Source organism: Homo sapiens, chromosome 12, assembly GCF_000001405.40.
Source record: "Homo sapiens chromosome 12, GRCh38.p14 Primary Assembly".
NCBI lineage: Eukaryota > Metazoa > Chordata > Mammalia > Primates > Hominidae > Homo > Homo sapiens.
In genome coordinates, this window is record NC_000012.12 from 131745123 (window position 1) to 131764827 (window position 19705).

The following is a 19705-nucleotide window of genomic DNA, read 5'->3' on the forward strand; positions in this document are numbered from 1 at the left end:
ATGAGCCAAATAATAAATGCTTTTAAGTATTTGGGAGGATGGGAAGGAAGATCATATTTTCTTAAAAACTTTGGGCTTACATCTTAAGGAGTTTTTGGTTTGTTTTACCATTTTTATTCTTGCAATATGAGATTTATGTTATAGAGAGCTAGTAGATAACCACCCTGCCTAAAACGAACAATTGCCAGAAGGGATCTTTTAGGAATTCTTGAAAATTATCTGAGTTCAGGAGATGAAGTCAGAAGTCATGAGAATGGAGATAATTGAGTGGAAAAGAGAAACTTGCAGAAGGAGAAAGAGTTTCTCCGCCCTGATTTCTCTCATTCACTTCTAGAGGACCTTGAAGGTTTCTAACATCCCCTGGGTGTATTAGGCACTTTCCTCATTCTTGAGAATGCAGAATTCAGTAATAAAAACAATTATTCTTGAATCGTGTTGTCAGTGCCTGACATTTACATGCATAGAATGTGGACCTCTCCTGGGGTGCAGGTCTTCACTGTGAATAAGGCAGCACTCTAACTATAGGCAGAGTAAGATTCTCAAATCAGGCAGGCTGGCACAGTCTGAAGGACCTAAAAATACCTGTTTCAGGGATCTGCATCTTCAGATGGTAATGAAACTTTTAGTAAGGCTTTTTTTTTTTTTGGCAAAAAAAAAAAGGTAGTATTGTAGAATTTTACATTAAATAGTGGAATTGCCATGAAAACAATTTATTCTGACATTGATCCAGCAGCCGAATAAGCCTGCAGGGAATGGCGACTCTTGGCAGCGGGTCAGGCTGTGGGCTTCAGAGTGGGCCGCTTCCTGGCTTACCAGCCCTGCTAGGGTAAATCTGCTCTCAGCGGCTTCCTCCTAGAATCCAGCTTGAAAATTAAATGGAAATAAACAAACATCGGTTATGGTCTGGGAAATTTGCTACATATTGCATGTTCTGTATGACACACTAATACATGTACATGCGTAGTATTACAGATGACTGCATATATTGGTGAACCATTAGCCTGAATTGGAGAGGAGATCTCAGGTGAGTATTGGGAACATGCACATCATCTTTGCAGTGCAGCCCACCTTGTATCTCTGAGAAGTCAGTGTGCATGTGGAGAAAGAATGGAAGGGAATGCAGGCAAGTTAAGATCACCCTTGAGAGGTGGTTCTCAGATGGAGCTGTGCCGCCTTCCTAGCTGAGGACCTACAGCGTTGTTGCAGTGTAGACTCATGTAATGGTGCCATCTTTTAAGCAAGTCTTGACTTTTGATGCCTCATTTGCTGCTGCTAGACCCAGGCGGAGCAAGCTTCTCTGGCATGTGGGTCGTTTGTTTGCAGTGTGCATTTGGTGAAATTGACAGCTGGGTTTCCCTGTCCCCCGTCCCCGCCTGGAACATCACTGTTCTGAGCCTGTAGCCAGTGCTTTTCTGTGACTTCTCTTTCTTTCCTGTGTTCATTCCTGTTCTTGTTGCTTGTATGTTTACTTCTGTATTTTGCTGGAGCACATCCTCCAGTAGTTTCCCAAGAAAGGGTACATAGGAACACAAAGTTTTTTAAATTCTTGGATATCTGAAAATGCCTTAATTTTGCCTTCCCATTTGACAGGTAGTTTGGAAGCACCTAGAATTGCGGGGTGGGTATGACTTTCCCTAAGAATGTGGGTGCTGGATGCCGCCATCTGCAGGAGCCTTTGCTGCCATGGAGAAGCTCATGCTGGCCGGGCATGCTGGCTCACGCCTATAATCCCAGCACTTTGGGAGGCCAAGGCGGGCAGATCATGAGGTCAGGAGATCGAGACCATCCTGGCTAACACGGTGAAACCCGGTCTCTACTAAAAATACAAAAAATTAGCCGGGTGTGGTGGCGGGTGCCTGTAGTCCCAGCTACTCGGGAGGCTGAAGCAGGAGAATGGCATCAACCCGGGAGGCAGAGCTTGCAGTGAGCCGAGATCGCACCACTGCACTCCAGCCTGGGCAACAGAGCGAGACTCTGTCTCAAAAAAAAAAAAAAAAGCTCATGCCATGCTCGTTACCATTCTCTCCTGTGTAACTTGTACAGGTGTTGAGCGATTTGCATCATGCTCTGCCATGCCAGGAACACAGTGGACAAACCTCCTTCTGCCATGGAGCTTATGTTCTGGAGGGCAGAGCCAGACAGTGACAGTGGACATGTGACTAAGAGCGATGGAGAAAGTGGCCATGACAAGGGGACCAGGGTTCTGGGGAGGCCAGCAGTGCTGGCATCATGGGGACAGGGAGGCCTCCTGTGACCAGAGACCAGAGGAAGTGCAGGTGAGCCCAGCAATTACCATGTGCAGGATGGGGGATGGGACAGCAATGGGACATGAGGTAGGAGAAGCAGGCAGGTGGGTTTGCAGGAGGGCTTCCCAGACAAGGGACTTAGCTTGACCCTGGTTGAGAGAGGTCGCCATGGGAGGGATTCAGGCAGAAACTGTGGAGGCAAGGGTGGAAAACCCGGGGCAGGCAGCAGCCAAGAGGCTGTACACATGGAGGGCAGGAGGTGCTGCAGCTGGAGGGCAGGACTCAGAGCTGAATCATCGGGCGTCAGCCTTGGGGTCTGCCAGATGAACTGGATGGATGAGGGGTGTGGCCACCTCCTGCATTGGGGGACTACAGAGGAGAGGCATGGGGAGAAATCAGGGGCTCTGTTCTGGACACATTCGGCTTGAAATATGTACGAGACATCCCAGTGGGAATGTTGAGTAGGTGGTTAATGCACAAGTTCAAGTTCAGCTCAGGGCTGGAGAAGTGAATTTTGCAGCCATCAAGTATAAATAGAATTCAAAGCCACTGAACTTAGAAGAGTTCCTGTCAACAGGATTTAGATCCAGGAAAAGAGACCGAGAGGCATGGCCGCTGCCGAGGAAGAGCCTGGGGCTGTGGGAGCAGCGAGGCCACCATCTGACTCTGGATGCCTGGAGAGCCGGGAGACAGGAAGGCTGGCTTGTTCCTGCCTCTCAGATGTGCTCAGCTAGTTACATTTGCCTGGCTAAAACACAGGGGCCATCTCTTTAACATTTCTTATTAAAATAGGTGTGTGTTTTCAGAATATCTATACTTATCTCCATAGAACTCTTAACTATTTTAATTCTTTTTTTTTTTTTTTGAGACAGTCTGGCTCTGATCTCAGCTCGCTGCAGCCTCCACCTCCCGGGTTCAAGTGATTCTCCTGCCACAGCCTCCCAAGTAGCTAATATTTTTTTGTATTTTTTAGTAGAGACGGAGTTTCACCATGTTGGCCAGGCTGGTCTGGAACTCCTGGCCTCAAGTGATCCCCCGACCTTGGCCTCCCAAAGTGCTGGGATGACAGGTGTAAGCCACCCTGGCCAGCCTATTTTCATTCTTAATATACACATTGTTCATCCTCCCTGACTTAGCTCTTCCAGAAAGGTGGTTGCTCACCAATCTCCTCTCTAAGAACCTTCTCAGCACAGGAGTTCTGTTCTGTGTGTTAAATTCACACGAGATTAAGATCATGCAGAGATACGAGAGAACTGGCTCTGATTTTTGCAAGAAGCCAGTTGAATAGAGGGCCTTGGGAGATAATTAGGCAGATTTCTCTGACCTATGTTAAGTAGCTCTGCACGTTTCAGAGGAGGCAGTATTGGAGAAGGACTTACAAATGTGCTTCCTGCTTTTAAGCAGCTTGGTTCTCGTCATACAACTATACTTGCCTTTAGGGACTGTGTAGGTACCTATTGGAATTTCTTTCTTGGATTTATTTGGAGTAGGCTTTCGTAGTACTCATAGCGTTTATTAGAGTAACATTACGTCAGCATTTAACTTAGTTTAAAACGTAGTCCCCTTTGGGAAATTCAATATAAAATCCTAAGAACAGCAACAAACCTAACAAGATATATGTGGTCCCAGCTTACTGAGGGTTCAACTCGATGATGGTGCACATGCAATTTGCATTCAGTAGAACATCAGTAAAATGCTTGAGATACTAAAAACTTTATTATAAAATAGGCTTCGTGTTAGATGATGTCATCCAGCCGTCAGCTACTGTAGGTGCCCTGAGCACATTTAAGGCAGGTGAGGCTGTGCCATGGTGTTCGGTGGGTTATAGGTGGATTCTGTGCATTTTCCACTTCACGGTGTTGTCAGTGTATGGTGGGGTTGTCGGGAAGTAGCCTCGCTATAAGCCCAGGAGAATCCCGGCATGTCGTGGCAGCCTGAGGACAGCAGGAGCCCCTTGGCACACTGTGCCCTCCCCCGTTCATGACTAGTAATGGCACAGTTATTGTAAAGCTGATGTGGCTTTTGCCAGCCCAGACTTCAGTTTGTAGACTACAGCCCAGCTTGTAGATTTTATTTCTGTTGTCACCCTGTACTAGTCCAGAAATTCTTAAAATTTAGTGTTCACGAGAATTGCTGTGTACAACATACAAGGGGCTGTATACAAAATCCCTGTGTCCTATAGTTGGTAGTCAGTTTAAAGGGCTTCAGTCCAGTTAAAGGGTTCTGTGAGCTGTATGGTGCCACCATTGTGTGCGGCACGTGTCAAGCAGCTTCATGGTCACTGCAGGATATTTTAGCACTGAGGCATTTTAGAAGCAGTCCAGGCCGTGCCACCAGCTGGCATGAACTCACTCATTAAACACTTACTGAGGGCCTGCTCATGCCAGGAGCTGTGTGAGCGGCTAAGGTTTTGTGGTCACTATTTGGAGATATGGAGTCCTTGGGAACATAGCTGCACACCAGTCCTAGTGGCGCAGGAGTTGCCATAGGGCGTTGTTTACAGGGTCCCCACGCGAGCCCAGAGCAAAGGCCTCCTGAGTCTGCCAAGGAGGCAGAGGCTTCCCGAAAGAGGTGGCACTGGAGATAAGCTGAATAGGGGCCTCATGGCAGGCAGAGACCCTGTGAGGCCGTGCAAAGGACAGAGACCTGGGGAACAGAAGCCAGGGCAAGGGGTGGGCTGGGCAAGCGGCAGAAGCCCTTCGGGAGGCTGGCCCTGGGCTGCTCCAGATGACTTGTGCCCGTCCTGCCTCCCACCAGGGCCACAGTGTCTGGGGAAGGATGGATCTGACGTCCTCCCTTAGATCTTCACATCCCTGACACCCTATGAAGTGAGAATCTGGGAGAAGCAACCCAGGAACGGTGTAGCGGAATTCATGAACCACTGTGGTGTTGGTTCCCGGGCTGCCTCCGAGCATGGCAGTGCCATAGGACACGTCCCACATTCTCTGTCGGCAGACAGAGAAGTGTTTTCATCTCATCAAGCAACACATACTTTATTTCTCTTGGAGTCCTTTTGAGAGACAGGATGATTTTCAAATTTGATTAAAACCTTGGAGAGAATCACAGGTGTGTGTGGGGAAGAGGTGACAGCAGCAGTGGCTAGCAGCAGACCGCCTCACAGAGGCTGCGCGTGTCTCGGCTTCACAGCTCTCCTCTGTGAGAATCTCCTGGGTCTGGGTCAAGGGTGTGCCCAGAGCATTGTCAGCCTGAGTGGTTTTTAGCGTGGAGCCTCTGAAGCAAGTTGTGGACCTAGGCTAGGATGTCCCTGGAGTGTTTTCAGATTTGGGCATTTGTTTCATTTTTACACCTACAGGCAGCCTTTTTTTCTTTTTGTGAGCTCAGCTCAGGGGCTCACTCCATCACCCAAGCTGGAGCACAATGGTGCCATCAACACCTCACTGCAGCCCCAAACTCCTGGGCTCAAGCCATCCTCCTGCCACAGCCTCCCAAGTAGCTGGGACTGTAGATGTGTACCATGCCCAGCTAGTTTATTTTATTTTATTTTTTGGAGATGGGGTCTGATGGTATTGCCCAGGCCTGAAGCATCCTCCCACCTCAGCCTACCAAAGTGCTGGGATTATAGGTGTGACCCATGGCACCCAGCCTAAATTTTTCAAATTAGCTGACATTTTTGACATTTGTAGTGGATGAGTCTCTGAGCAGTCTGCCATTTTGCCGGCACTGCTATTTTTTTTAACACTTCGTTTTTATTTAACAAGATGGAAGGCTCAGGAAGGTCATATAGACTAACAGTCTGCGTGTTCTTTAAAGGAATGGCGCTCAGCTTTGAAAACAGTTTCTTCATCTCTGTTGTGTTCCAGTGTGATTGCACTTTACACAGTTACATAAAGAATGCAGGTATCAGGTTGGAGCTGCATAATATGTACTACTAGTTGAAATAATTATAAACCGTTTTGTTTTGTTTGTTTTTGTGAATTCAGATCCCGTCCTTTGTGGCCCCAGTTTAAAACATGTTTGGACACTTTTTAGGGGTGAGACTGACTGTCCAGAGCAGGACATGGGGTTTCCGTCCTTCCTGCTGAGGTGGGAGGCTGGAGACCTGACAGTAGCCAGTCGGTAGTGGGGTCAGTTCCGCCTGGCCCTCCCCAGAGCTAAGCACACACTGGGCTGCACTCTCTCCCCTGGAGTGCTGGCTTCGCCCTGGCTGAGAGGAAGCATCCATACATAGTAGCCTGATGGCTCCAGCAGGGAGTGGGTGGAAGCAGCAGCTCCCCCCTTCCAGGGATGACGTTGTCTCTTACAGAAGCACATGCTTATATTCGGATTCCTGATTTTGATAGGAAGCCTATGTTGGACCATCAGGTCAGTTCGTTGGTCCAGCACATACTCTGCTCAATGCAGAGGCTGCAGAGACAGTGAAGACAGGACCTGCCGCTGCAGGAGCCTCAGAGACGGTGCCTGCCCTGCTGTCAGCCTCCCATTGACATCCAAGGGTCTCATCCCCTGCTCCCGGCCTTTTCTCAGAAATGTTGCTCAGATATATCTGTGTTGACGATAATGTGGAGCACATCGAACCCACTTATCTTATTTTGAAAATTTGGAGTATTACTGTTTCTGTGTCATGGTGGTTGGTGTGTAACATGGAGCTAGAGAACAACGGTTTAGGAGTTCATCATGTATAATTAATTTAAATAAGTCATTAGCAGCTGGGGAATATGCCTACAGCACATAGGAATTATGCTGCCTCGCCAATCTAAGATGGAAAGGTCAAGATAGTCTAAGTTGTACTTCTGAAATTTTTCTCTGCATAGCATACATTACTGGAAACCATAGTTAAGCTTTTACTGTTTTTCAATGTTATTGTTTTAAGGTGAATTGATTGAAAGTGAAGATAAAAGTTCTTAATTCGAAAAATATTTTTGCCATCTCCTAATAAAGAGGAAATTAAATCTCTGTGTAGTCAGAACTACTTGCTTATCTACAACAGGACTGGAAATTAAATTTCGTAATTAATCATTGAATCTTCTGTGATTCGTGGTTCTGAACATTTAACCCCAAAAAGGATAAATGTACAGGATTTTTAATTGTTAAGACAGCGTGCCTCTACCCTACAGATACCTGCTTGTGTGCACAGCATAGGTGGCAAGACGGCATACATCACTGTCTGTGATGGAAAGGTCCAGACACAGCCTCAGTGCCCCTGGGAACTTTTATTTACTGAATAAATTCCTGCACAGCCTGTGTTGCTGGGGCCGGGGGCTGACGCCAGGGTTGCCAGGAGCAGCTGCCTTACTGAGGGGATGGTTTCCGGATTAACGTGTGAATGGAGGGAGCAGCGTGCCTGGGGAATGAAAGCAGGTGTCAGCGCGGGGAGCTAGCCAAAGGCATTTCCTCACATGTGCATTTAGGAGCATAGGTGGCCTTCGTGGGCCGTGTGAGCAAAGGGATGACTGGTTGCCGCTAGAGAGGAGACTGTTCCCAACCTGCACATTTTGAAGTTAAGGAGGACATTAATTTGTCTAGAGAGTATTCATATCTGGTGCCTTTGAATGTCCTCATGCCATTCGCTTTCCATCTGTCTTTGGATGCGTGTTGTGGCTTTGCCTGGTTCTTTTAAATTGCATATTGTGCAGACAACTTTTTGTATCAGAAAAATCTAGAAAACAGCATGGTTGGAAGTGAGCAGAGGCAAGGCTGCATCTTGCCGGGGGAAGGGCTCTTGTGGCTGCATTGTGGACTCATGGACCAGCCTGTGGCCGGCCATGCTCACTCCGGGGCAATGTGTCTCCACAGCGACCGTGGCAGCCATGTATTACAGCTACTACATGCTACCGGACGGCACTTACTGCCTGGCGCCGCCCCCTCCCGGAATCGACGTGACTACTTACTACAGCACCCTTCCTGCTGGCGTGACCGTGTCTAACTCCCCTGGAGTGACGACCACCGCCCCACCACCTCCTGGGACCACACCACTACCGCCCCCAACCACAGCAGAGACTAGCAGCGGGGCCACCTCCACAACCACCACCACAAGGTAGGTGCAGCGTCCACCGCTGCCTGCTGTGTGAGTCACTCAGCACTGCAGTCACTGGGGCCGTCTGTGTCTCCATGGGGGGCTTGTAATCTAGATCATATACAGGGGTCCCCATTGTCTGAGTAGTTATTATTCCAAATCCCCAAGTTACAAAGTTGACAGGAAAACAGAAATGGTTGTAGCACAAACTTTTTAGCATTGAAGTTAAACCACTTATAAAGTTGAATTCATTTCACGTCGCACGCTGGCCCCAGATCTCCAGCATCTGTTCTTGCGCTTTGTGTCAGAGTCTCAGTTGAGCTGTGCTAGGCAAAATCAGTATGCAGTGAAGCTGCAGTTGTTTGCAAAACATGCAGGTTCATAAAGTTGACGCAGGTGATGTTGGGGTGCTTCATGAGTCTCTCCCAAGCTGTTGGCCACCAGGGGACCCTGGCAGCTACTTTAGTTAACCTGTGAAGCCATCGGCAGAGCCCTAGCTTCTCCAGCAGCGAGGGCCCCCAGTGTTCAGGGGACGAGTATGAGACAGGCGCTTTACCAGTGGGCCTGGAATGCCCTGCCTTGAAAGGAGACTCCTGGGAAATGGAATGAAACACGCGAGTTTCTGTGAAAACGACTCTTTCTGGTCATGCTGAGCAAGTCAGACAGGAAATGAAGGAGGTTGAACCATGCTTGCCGACTTGTTTTCAATATAACAACAACAACAACAAACTGCTTATTCTTTGTTATTTCTAAGAATTAGCTTGTGATTGGGGGGAAATGTTAATTAGTAGGAAAAATGCACCTTTTATCACTAAAATCCCCATTTTTCACTCTTGACAACAATCCTGTCTAGTTGACTTTAGTTTCTGTCGTGTGCATCACCTTCAACAAGAGCCTCCCCTAACACACTGTTTATAACTCACATGTCTCTCCGGGCATCTGAGGCGGTGAGGACCCCCGAGCAGCCAGGACTGAGCTTGGCGAGCCCCTGAAGCCCAGGGGTCTCACAGACTCTTCTCCTGCAGTGCACTTGCCCCCGTGGCCGCCATCATCCCCCCGCCCCCCGACGTCCAGCCCGTGATTGACAAGCTGGCCGAGTATGTCGCCAGGAACGGCCTGAAGTTCGAGACCAGTGTTCGTGCCAAGAATGATCAAAGGTCAGAAGAAGAATTTTATATGTTAGGTATATGGCATTTGGGGGTTTCGTTTAGCCTTTTTTTAAAAAAATGTAGGTACAGAATTAATTTTTTTATATATTTTTAAGCCTTTTCTTGGCTCAAATGTCTTTTTTTTTTTTTTTTTTTTTTTTGAGATGGAGTCTTGCTCTGTCACCCAGGCTGGAGTGCAGTGGCGCGATCTTGATTGACTGTAACCTCTACCTCCTGGGCTCAAGCAATTCTCCTGTCTCAGCCTCCTGAGTAGCTGGGACTACAGGCGCGCACCACCACGCCTGGTTAATTTTTGTATTTTGGTAGAGACAGGGTTTCACTGTGTTGGCCAGGCTGGTCTCAAACTCCTGACCTCAAGTGATCCACTTGCCTCAGCCTCCCAAAGTGCTAGGATTACAGATGTGAGCCACCACGCCCAACCAATGTCTTTAGATAAATACATTTTTTAATTGGCTTGTTAAATTGCTTAGACTTGGGTGGTGTTTTTAAATTATGTTACCTGTTTTTTGTTTCATTTTTTAAGTAGGAATTTTGAAGCTACCTAAAATAAAAGCCTATAATTCATGGTTTTCAAGAATCTGCCTTAAAAATCTAGACACAAACCCTTCTTTTTAAAAACCAAGCAATGTCCCACGCCTCAGTACTAATAAAACGTAAAGATATGTTGTCACATTTGCAGCGTGACCTGTGTAACCCCGGGCAAGCGATTTCGACCCCCTGTGTGCAGTCTCCCTCGTCTATAAGATGAGTAGCTAAAACAGTAACCACCTTGTGGGATTGTTGAGATCAGTAAAGAGCTAGGAGAACAGGGCCTGTTGTTACTTCAGTGAGCTTGTCTTGGTAAATGACCCATTTTCTTTCTTTTTCTGCTCAGATTTGAGTTCCTGCAGCCGTGGCACCAGTATAATGCTTATTATGAGTTTAAGAAGCAGTTCTTCCTCCAGAAAGAAGGGGGCGATAGCATGCAGGTACGTGTCTGAATGCAGGGAGGCTGTGAAGCTCTTAGAGGTGGCTCCGCCTTCCAGATCAGAAGTCGCTTTCTGTTTCTTCTCCTACAGGTGAAAGGGCTGGGTGATTCTTCACCTTTTTTTAATGTGTGTCTGGCATACTCCATCTTTCACGTCCCCCTTAGCTCTGGAACCTGATCTGTTGAAAGCATCTGCCCACGTTCACAGCATTGATGATTGTTTGTCCAGCACGTTCTAAACAAACAAAAAAAATCCTGTTCCTTCAACTGTTCGATGTTTTGGCCGTCTACAGTTACTAGCTACCTTTCATGACAGCCGGGTACCTTGCTTCTGTTGTGTTAACATGTATGAAATATATAAAATATAAGTGGGCGCCTCATGCCTGGCCAGCTGGTGCTGGGGGTGTCCTGCAGCACGGCCTCTGCCTGTGCCTGCACGCCCTTCCCCCTCACCAGATCCCCAGCGTGGTGCTGGCGCACTTGGAAGTGCTTTTTGTCCTACAGCCCCCTCTTCTGCCTTTGCTCTGCTCTTCTCAGTTATATAGACACCCTGACATTTTTGTAAAGCCAGTTTTGGTGAGGAGATGACATGGGCCTTACTTCTCAGGAGATTTCTTCAGACCCTTATCTCCAATAGCCCACACTGAAAGAAACTGACTCCTCTGTAGGTGATGGGGATAATTTGGTATTTTTAAAGAATTCTGAGTAATCAGTGTCCAAAGAAAAGATACTGAAAATTGGTTCCCAAGGCAGTATTAGGGCTTCAAAGAGTATAGTGTTTTTTCAGACAGGAGAAAATCTTCCATTCCTCTTTGATACATTCCATTGTAAGAAAAAACAGCAGATCTGGATTTGGAAGTCTGTTCCCAGTGCTGCTTGGGCAGTAATGTACAATTGCCGTTGTCCAGTGAAACATATACCGTATACATCTCTCTTTTTTTAAAATTTCTGTATAATTTCCTGCTGACAGTTTATAGTGACATTTAATCTCTAGGCTGTGTCTGCACCAGAAGAGGCTCCCACAGACTCTGCTCCCGAGAAGCCAAGTGATGCTGGGGAGGATGGCGCGCCTGAAGACGCAGCCGAGGTGGGAGCACGGGCAGGCTCAGGCGGGAAGAAGGAGGCATCGTCCAGTAAGACCGTCCCGGACGGGAAGCTGGTGAAAGGTATGCTGCCACTTGCATGTTGGCCTTGCACATTCCACCATAAGTTGGCAAGCGTAGGATCCTCGGTGACCTCAGACTCAGCGCCCTCACCTGCAGGCTGGGGTGGGGTTGGCGGCCCCCTGGAGGTTGCTGTGGTGAAACCTCTGCCTTCCATGCTGTGTCATGCTTGCCTCGCGTGGCATTGGAGGTAACGTGAGTGTGAGCAGCCCTTAGGTATGTGTCTGTTTAACAGTCTGTTCAGTGTACTGGACATTTGTACAGAAAGTTTCAAATAATCCTTTGTACTCCCTGGGACTTCTGAAACTATTTATATGCAAACTGTTGTACCAGTGAAATTCATTTATTAATTTGTCAAAGCAGATTCCTTGAGAATCTCTACCAGGCAATACTTCACTCACTCGATTTCAGTTACTTTGTTATGTTCTTGGAGCAAGACTTTGATGTCACAGGACAGACAGGCATGTAAAAATACAAAGTCAGTGTAATTAAAAAGCAGACAGAAGCAAAGGCCAGAGCAGGCCCTTAGCCAGGAACCTCGTGGAGCAGCAGTGGGCTCCCCCCGCGGGAGGGAGGTTCTGTGGAGTAGAGGCGTTCAGCTGGTGTTGCGAGAGGAACGGGAAGCTCTGAGGCAGGGGTGCAGCCCTAGGCAGGAGCCCCGTGGTGCGAGCTGCCCGGCCCCGTGTTGAGATGCGGTAGGTGGTCAGCAGTGACTTCGGGGGTGGCTGGTGAAGGAGCCTTGGCCAGCTTGCCCCGGTGCACCCTGTCGGGGAGGGGCCAGCACATCTGACAGGCTTTAGGTCAGCGGAATAACTTTATCCAGTCTGGTGACTTTGTGATGCGGTTAAGCCACTGGAGCGACTTCAGAGATTTCTGGTGGCATTGGTGGCCTGGAATGGAGTGTGACAGGTGTGGCAGTGGGGTGAGGTGTGGCAGTGGGGCGAGGCGACAGCTCTTGGGTCAGAAGGAAAGGCAGAGTGGAGACAAGAGATTGAGGAAGTGGGCTGGGGTGATAAGAGGACCGTCCTTTGCATAAAGATGCCTTGTTGTATGAGAATGGTGATCATTCAGCGAAACCAAATCCATGTGGATGAACCGCTAACTAGGCAATTCACTATATGTGTCTTTGGGCCTCTCATTCGAGTAGGTTACCTGAGCACAAGTGATCCAGCTCTCACCCTTCCCGGCCACCCGCATACTCTCACTGGGATAATCAAAGGAATGTAATAAGTAGAGGAGGAAAATGGTTACTGCTCTAGAAACCCGGGGAGAGGTACTGTCTATAGGTCAGGGTAAGGCAGCATACCTGGAGCTTGCAGAGAAGTACCCTTGAGACTCAGGGCAGTGACTCCAGGGGAGTCGACTGTCAGCCACAGAGGGGCAGGCAGGAGGCTGGAACAAGCTGGGAGCTTCCCAGAGGCAGCAGTACCTCATCCCTTCTCACACCCCAGAACACAACCACAGCCCGAGCCTGCCTGCTGCCCCAGGGTTTGTGAGCCCAGGGAAGGCGCCTGACCCAGCCAGCTATGGGGTGTGCAGAGGGGTTGTGAGCCCAGGGAAGGCACCTGACCCCTGCCAGCTGTGGGGCCCGCAGAGGAGCAGCCCTGCCCACAAGGCTGCTGCCAACCAGCGTGACCTTCTCCACACTTCCCTGATTGTCCTAGAACCTGGCAGATGAAACAACACACCGAGAAGTTTACCGTCTACATCCACCCAAGCCTGAGACACTTGAACAGAGATCTACTCAATATCTGACAAAACCCATGCTAACTCTCAGTTCTCAAAAGCACAGGCCAGCCTCTCTTTGAAAAGATGCGGAGACAGAAATGTCATTGCGCCCACAGAGATTCCAAAGTTCGGGAGACACAGCTGAGCCTCCAGGCATATGGGCATCTCTGAAACAGACTCTTGCGTAACAGGAGAAAAATCTTTTAAGTCTCTAATTTGTATTCTACAAAATGGAAAATATTATAAAACTAGTGCTACTGGTAATCAGACATGGAAAAGATTGCTTAGAAATTGCTGTGGAGTGTGGTGGCTCACGCCCATAATGCCAGCACATAGGGAGGCCAGGGCAGGCAGATCACTTGAGTCCAGGAATTCGAGACCAGCCTGGGCAAATGACAAAACCCCGTCTCTGCTAAAAATACAAAAATGTAGCCGGGCATGGTGGCACATGCCTGTAGCACCAGCTCCTCACAGAGGCTGTGAAGTGGGAGGATCACTTAAGCCGGGGAGATAGAAACCAGCCTGGACAACATCGTGAGACCATGTCTCTACAAAAAATTAAATTAAATTAGCCAGGCATGGTGGCACCCATCTGTGCTCCCAGCTACTTGGGAGGCTAAGGTGGGAGGATCTTTTGAGCCCAGGAGACGGAGGTTGCAGTGAGCCAAGACCACGCCACTGTGTTCCAGCCTGCGTGACAGAGGAAGAAAATTATAGGTATCTTTTTAAGTACACAAGCTACAACTAGAAGTTAACACTAGAAAATAAAGTATATGAGAACATATATTATTTTAAATTTGAATGAATTTGAAAATCAGTGAAAAATATCGCTTTCTAAGAAAACATAAGTGCTGAAATTATTTCATGAAGAAATCAGGAACCAACATAGACCTATAGACCTGAAAGAATTTTGAAAATAATTGGTTAGTGAAATACCTCTCAACCCAGGCAGTCAGCCAAGACAAATTAAAGGTCAAGTTAATTCACCCTCAAGAAATAGAATGCCTACATCATTAAAGCCACTCCAGAGCATTAAGAAGGATGGAAAAGTATGAAGCTCTCAAAGCTTGGCAATCTGTAGACCACGATCACTTACAAGTATAGATGTTAAAATATTAAACTGAATTCAGCTATGTATGAAAATAGTAGGCCGGGCGCGGTGGCTCACGCTTGTAATCCCAGCACTTTGGGAGGCCGAGGCGGGTGGATCACGAGGTCAGGAGATCGAGACCATCCTGGCTAACACGGTGAAACCCCGTCTCTACTAAAAATAAAAAAAAAATTAGCCGGGCGTGGTGGCGGGCGCCTGTAGTCCCAGCTACTCGGAGAGGCTGAGGCAGGAGAATGGCGTGAACCCGGGAGGCGGAGCTTGCAGTGAACCGAGACTGCGCCACTGTACTCCAGCCTGGGTGACAGAGCGAGACTCCGTCTCAAAAAAAAAAAAAAGAAAAAAGAAAATAGTAATAGATGATGAGCAAGTAGGATTGTTCCAGGAATCCCAGCATGTCACAAAATGAGAAGACCTTCTAGTATAGTTTACATATTAACAGATGAGTGGCTTTCTCAGATGCCGAGAAAGCAGCAACATTCTCTCAGATGTTGATGATGAAACTTCTTTAGTATAACACTAATTAATGTTGGAAAAACAGGCTCTCCATTTTGAAAAATAATAAGATATCACATATTTGACAACCATAATTCCATATAAATCCAGTATTTAAATGTAAAACATAAAACTAGAAAAGTAGAAAAATATAAAGGTAATTTTCCTTTTAAAATAATCTTGGAGCTGGAAAGAAGTGTCTTAAGAACTGAAGCTGTAAATCATAGGGAAAGATTGGTAGGTCTAATGGGGGCATGGCCTGAATAAAGTTAAAAGACAAATACAGAAATGGCAGTAACTGCTAATACATAAAAATAAAGGTTAACATCCTCACTATAGAAAGAGCTTTTATAAATCAATACAAAAAGACAGTCACTGACCTAGAGAAATAGACAAAGGACATGAAAATATGGTTCCAAAAAGAAAAATCGATGGCTAGTAAATATATTTTTTCAATGTAGCCTCATTAACAAGTTTTTATTTTTTGCCTCTCAAATTGATAAAGTTTAAAAAAAGTAACAATGAGACAGAGGCTGTGGGCAGTAGGAATACTGTTTTTGAGTGTAAGTCGATAGAACCCAGTAATATGGACTGAGTTTTAAATGAAAATGACCTTCTACTCCTAGAAACGTGTTTTACCAAGATGTCTATACATGGATGTTCGTTGTAGGGCATGTTTGTTTTTTAAAATTAAAAAAAAACTTGGAAACAGTTATGGGAAATTGTGAATTGACATGTCCATACTACTTATTGCTGTCTGTTTAAGTGGTCTGTGTTGACACAGAAACCTGTCTACACAGTAAAGAAAGGAGTTGCTGGGGCCAGACATGGTGGCTCACGCTTGTAATCCCAGCACTTTGGGAGGCCGAGGGGGGCAGATCACGAAGTCGGGATTTCGAGACCAGCCTGGTCAACATGGTGAAACCCTGTCTCTACTAAAAATCCAAAAATCAGCTAGGTGTGATGGCGGGCACCTGTAATCCCAGCTAATCAGGAGGCTGAGGCAGGAGAATCGCTTGAAACTGGAAGGTGGAAGTTGCAGTGAGCCTAGATCGCGCCACTGCACTCCAGCCTGGGCGAAAGAGCGAAACTCCGTCTCAAAGTGAAAATAGCAGGTTATGAAACGAGCTGTGCCCCCATTTTACACACGTGTGCCATTGTACACTTCTGCCTGGGAATCCACTGATTATGTTCAGATGATTTTTTTTCCATATTGGAATTGCAATTGATCTATTTGCTCATATGTTTTCAAAATCTCCCACAGAAAATGTATATTACTTTTGAAGTTAGAAGTTAGCAATAAGAGTTGTTAGCTAAAAAACAGAAACCTATTTGCTATGGAAGATGGCGGGTTCACTCAGGGGTGCCCGATGCCATGTTAGCCATGCATCTGTCCCCGCATGGTCCCGTCCTCCACCGCCTAGGAGATAGTGGACCATCAGTGCCTGAATGCAAATCATAGTGAGTGGTGTGCAGGAAAGAGGTTGGGCAGGGCCTGTCTGAGGAGGCATCGTGGGGGCCGATCCTTGAAGAATGTGAAAGGGACAGGAGAAGAGCAGGCAGCTCTCAGGCAGAGGTGAGGGGCAGTGCAAACGTGGAGCAGTGGCCCCGATCACTCAGGGACGTGGCAGCCTTGGGAAGGAACTGGGTTTATTCTGAATGCAGCGTGAGACCTACTCACTGAAGCTGTAGGACATGCTTTCCATGTGCTGTGACGTGATCTGCAAGGAAGATTCTAGGCAGAAGCAACAATTTTGTGATTGAAAAATTCCACATAAAGAAGCAATTCCTGATTCCCTGTACTGACCTGAGGTACCTGGAGAAACTTAGTTAATCTTTTCAGCCTCGGTTTTCCCATCTGTAAAATGGGAAGCCTCTCAGTGTCCATCCTGTGGAGCTGTAAAGGCTGAGTAAGGGAGGCCTGTGGGCTGTGTGCCATAGGCCACTCTTAGAGTGAGTAGCTGTGGTTTTGGCTTTGTGTTTGGTTTGCATAGATACTAGCTTTAAAATGTCTACTTGACAGGCCGGACAAGGTGGATCACCTGAGGTCAGGAGTTCGAGACCAGCCTGGCCAACATGGTGAAACCCATCTCTACTAAAAATACAAAAAATTAGCTGGGCATGGTGGCGAGCACCTGTAATCCCAGCTACTCAAGAGGCTGAGGCAGGAGAATCGCTTGAACCTGGGAGGCAGAAGTTGCAGTGAGCTGAGATCGCGCCTTTGCACTTCAGCCTGGGCGACAGAGCGAGACTCCGTCTCCAAAAAAAAAACAAAAAAAAAGTCTACTTGAGGCTGGGCACGGTGGCTCATGCTTGTCATCCCAGCACTTCAGGAGGCTCAGGCAGGAGGATTGCTTGAGGCCAGGAAGTCAAGGCTGCAATAAGCTATGATTGCACCACTGCACTGCAGCCTGGGCAACACAGTGAAACCCTTTCTCAAAAAAAATAAAATAAAATGTAAAATGAAATAAGCATTGCTAGAAGGTGTTCTGGAAGCTTTCATCTTAATACTCTTATTTGTTGATTGCGTATTTTTCTAATTTGGGGAGATGGTTTGGAAATAATTGTTATTAAATCATTTTGTGATATATTTTAGTCCAGCCCCTTGTTTGTTTTGTTTTGTTTTTTGTTTTTTTTGAGATAGAATCTCACTCTGTCACCCAGGCTGGAGTAGTGCAGTGGCGTGATCTCAGCCCACTGTAACCTCTGCCTCTGCCTCCCGGGTTCAAGTGATTCCCCTGTCTCAGCCTCCCAAGTAGCTGCGATTACAGGCGCCCGCCACCACACCCAGCTAATTTGTGTATTTTTAGTAGAGACAGGGTTTCACCGTGTTGGCCCTGCTGGTCTTGAACTCCTGATCTTGTGATCTACCTGCCTTGGCCTCCCAAAGTGCTGGGATTACAGGCGTAAGCCACTGCACCCGGCCAATTTTTTTTTTCTTATGGAAAATCTCAAACATGTACGAAAACAGAATATCACATAATGACCACTCACGCCCCACACACGTGCTCATCATCTGGCTTCAGCTGCCGGCCCTGCTGCTTTTTATTTTGATGTTATAAAATACTGCTGTCCCGGTATCAGTATCTTTGTGTGTGCCCTGTCCCCTGAGGCAGTTGTTGATGAAAAGTGGTTATATTTCAGAGGGTCTGGGCTATCACATGCTTAACTGTCTACTTCACATCACACGCGGGTTTGGAGCCATAAAATGCTAAAGCGGAAGGACCTCCGCCAGGGGCCAGCCAGGTAGCCCACCCTGTGCTACAGAGGTGGCATCACAAACATAAGTTGCAGCCCTTCCAGAAGCGGCCTTGTTTACCCAGAACCCACTTCCCTCTCAGTCACCTGGTTTGCGGTGCACTTAGCATCCCCTTCATTGTGGGTGCCTTGAATATTCTTCATAAATAACAACTGATGGTTTTTTAAAATACTGTATCTTATTGCAACCAGTTAGCTCTTGTCAAGAGCCATTTATCACAGCATCTGAAAGAGAAAGGGACTCTGTGTTCATTGAGTGGTGGGGCGGGAAAGATGATTTTTTCTTTAGGGCCTCCATATTTCCCTTAAATTTAAGCCTTCTGGATATTCTAAGAGGAGGGATTGCTTCTAAACTTCTGTCACGCTGGGTTTGACATTTTCTTACAGGTGTGGAAAATGGTCTAACATAATGCCTGTCACAAAGTAGGTAAAAATGTTTGCTGAATAAAGGCATGGATTCTGTAATTTTTGCTTTGTAAGAAAAGGCTATTTTTTATCATGGGGAATTTTTTAAAGAGACCTGTTTATAGTGGAGTCACATCATATGCCTCCTGAAGCAAATTTAGATATATGCTGAGCCATGAATTTTTTTTTTTTTTTTTAAAGAAAAATGAGGCCGGGCACAGTGGCTCACGTCTATAATCCCAGCACTTTGGGAGGCCGAGGCAGGCGGATCACGAGGTCAGGAGATCAAGACCATCCTGGCTAACATGGTGAAACCCCATCTCTACTAAAAATAGAAAAATTTAGCCAGGCATGGCAGCGGGCGCCTGTACTCCCAGCTACTCAGGAGGCTGAGGCAGGAGAATCGCTTGAACCTAGGAGGCAGAGGTTGCAGTGAGCCGAGATCGTGCCACTGCACTCCAGCCTGGGCGACAGAGCGAGACTCCATCTCAAAAAGAAAAGAAAAGAAAAATGACAAGAATTGGCCATTTAAAATTGCAGGTGACTGCCCTGGCATCAGCGAGTGTGCCCTTGCCATGAAGTCCCCAGTCAGTGCGGTTCTCACAGCATGGTTCAGGGGCTCACCCCAGCCCCACGCCATGCAGTGCACATCTGCACAGGTCTGCTCTGACGGCACGGCGTCCCCCACCGTAGACCCTGCATATGATGTGGCTCCATGCTAGTCATCCCCTTCCCAGCAGCCGATGCTCAGGTGGGTAGCAGGGCCTGCAAAGATTTCCACTCTGTAACATGTATCATAATTCTCACCTTTCCTCAATAGCTTCCTTTGCTCCAATAAGCTTTGCAATCAAGGCCAAAGAAAATGATCTGCTTCCCCTGGAAAAAAATCGTGTTAAGCTAGATGATGACAGTGATGATGATGAAGAAAGCAAAGAAGGCCAAGAAAGTTCTAGTAGTGCTGCAAACACTAACCCAGCAGTTGCCCCACCCTGTGTAGTTGTTGAGGAGAAGAAGCCTCAACTTACCCAGGAGGAGCTAGAAGCAAAGCAAGGTTTGTTGATAGCTTTTAAACTTCTTGAAAGAAAGGAAATACACAAATATAAGATTTATCTGCTAAGCCAAAAAATCTCGAGGCTGCCAACTAGAATCTGAAGCCTTTGGAAATCGACCTATTTGGGAGTTGTGTAACATG

General features: G+C 47.1%; 1 protein-coding gene across 8 annotated transcripts in view; it reads left to right on the forward strand.

Moving 5' to 3' along the window:
• The window catches only part of SFSWAP (splicing factor SWAP), an 88649-nt gene that overhangs the window by 34033 nt on the left and 34911 nt on the right, over positions 1–19705 (forward strand). For 5 of the 8 annotated variants that reach the window (XM_024449125.1, XM_047429327.1, NM_001261411.2 and 2 more), the window contains 5 exons: positions 8001–8241; positions 9246–9377; positions 10264–10357; positions 11351–11522; positions 19334–19564. In XM_024449125.1, the coding sequence (XP_024304893.1) occupies positions 8001–8241; positions 9246–9377; positions 10264–10357; positions 11351–11522; positions 19334–19564 (870 nt within the window). The remainder of the gene's footprint in view (positions 1–8000; positions 8242–9245; positions 9378–10263; positions 10358–11350; positions 11523–19333; positions 19565–19705) is intronic. The other 3 variants (XM_047429328.1, XM_011538653.1, XM_017019798.1) reach the window with 1 other exon arrangement.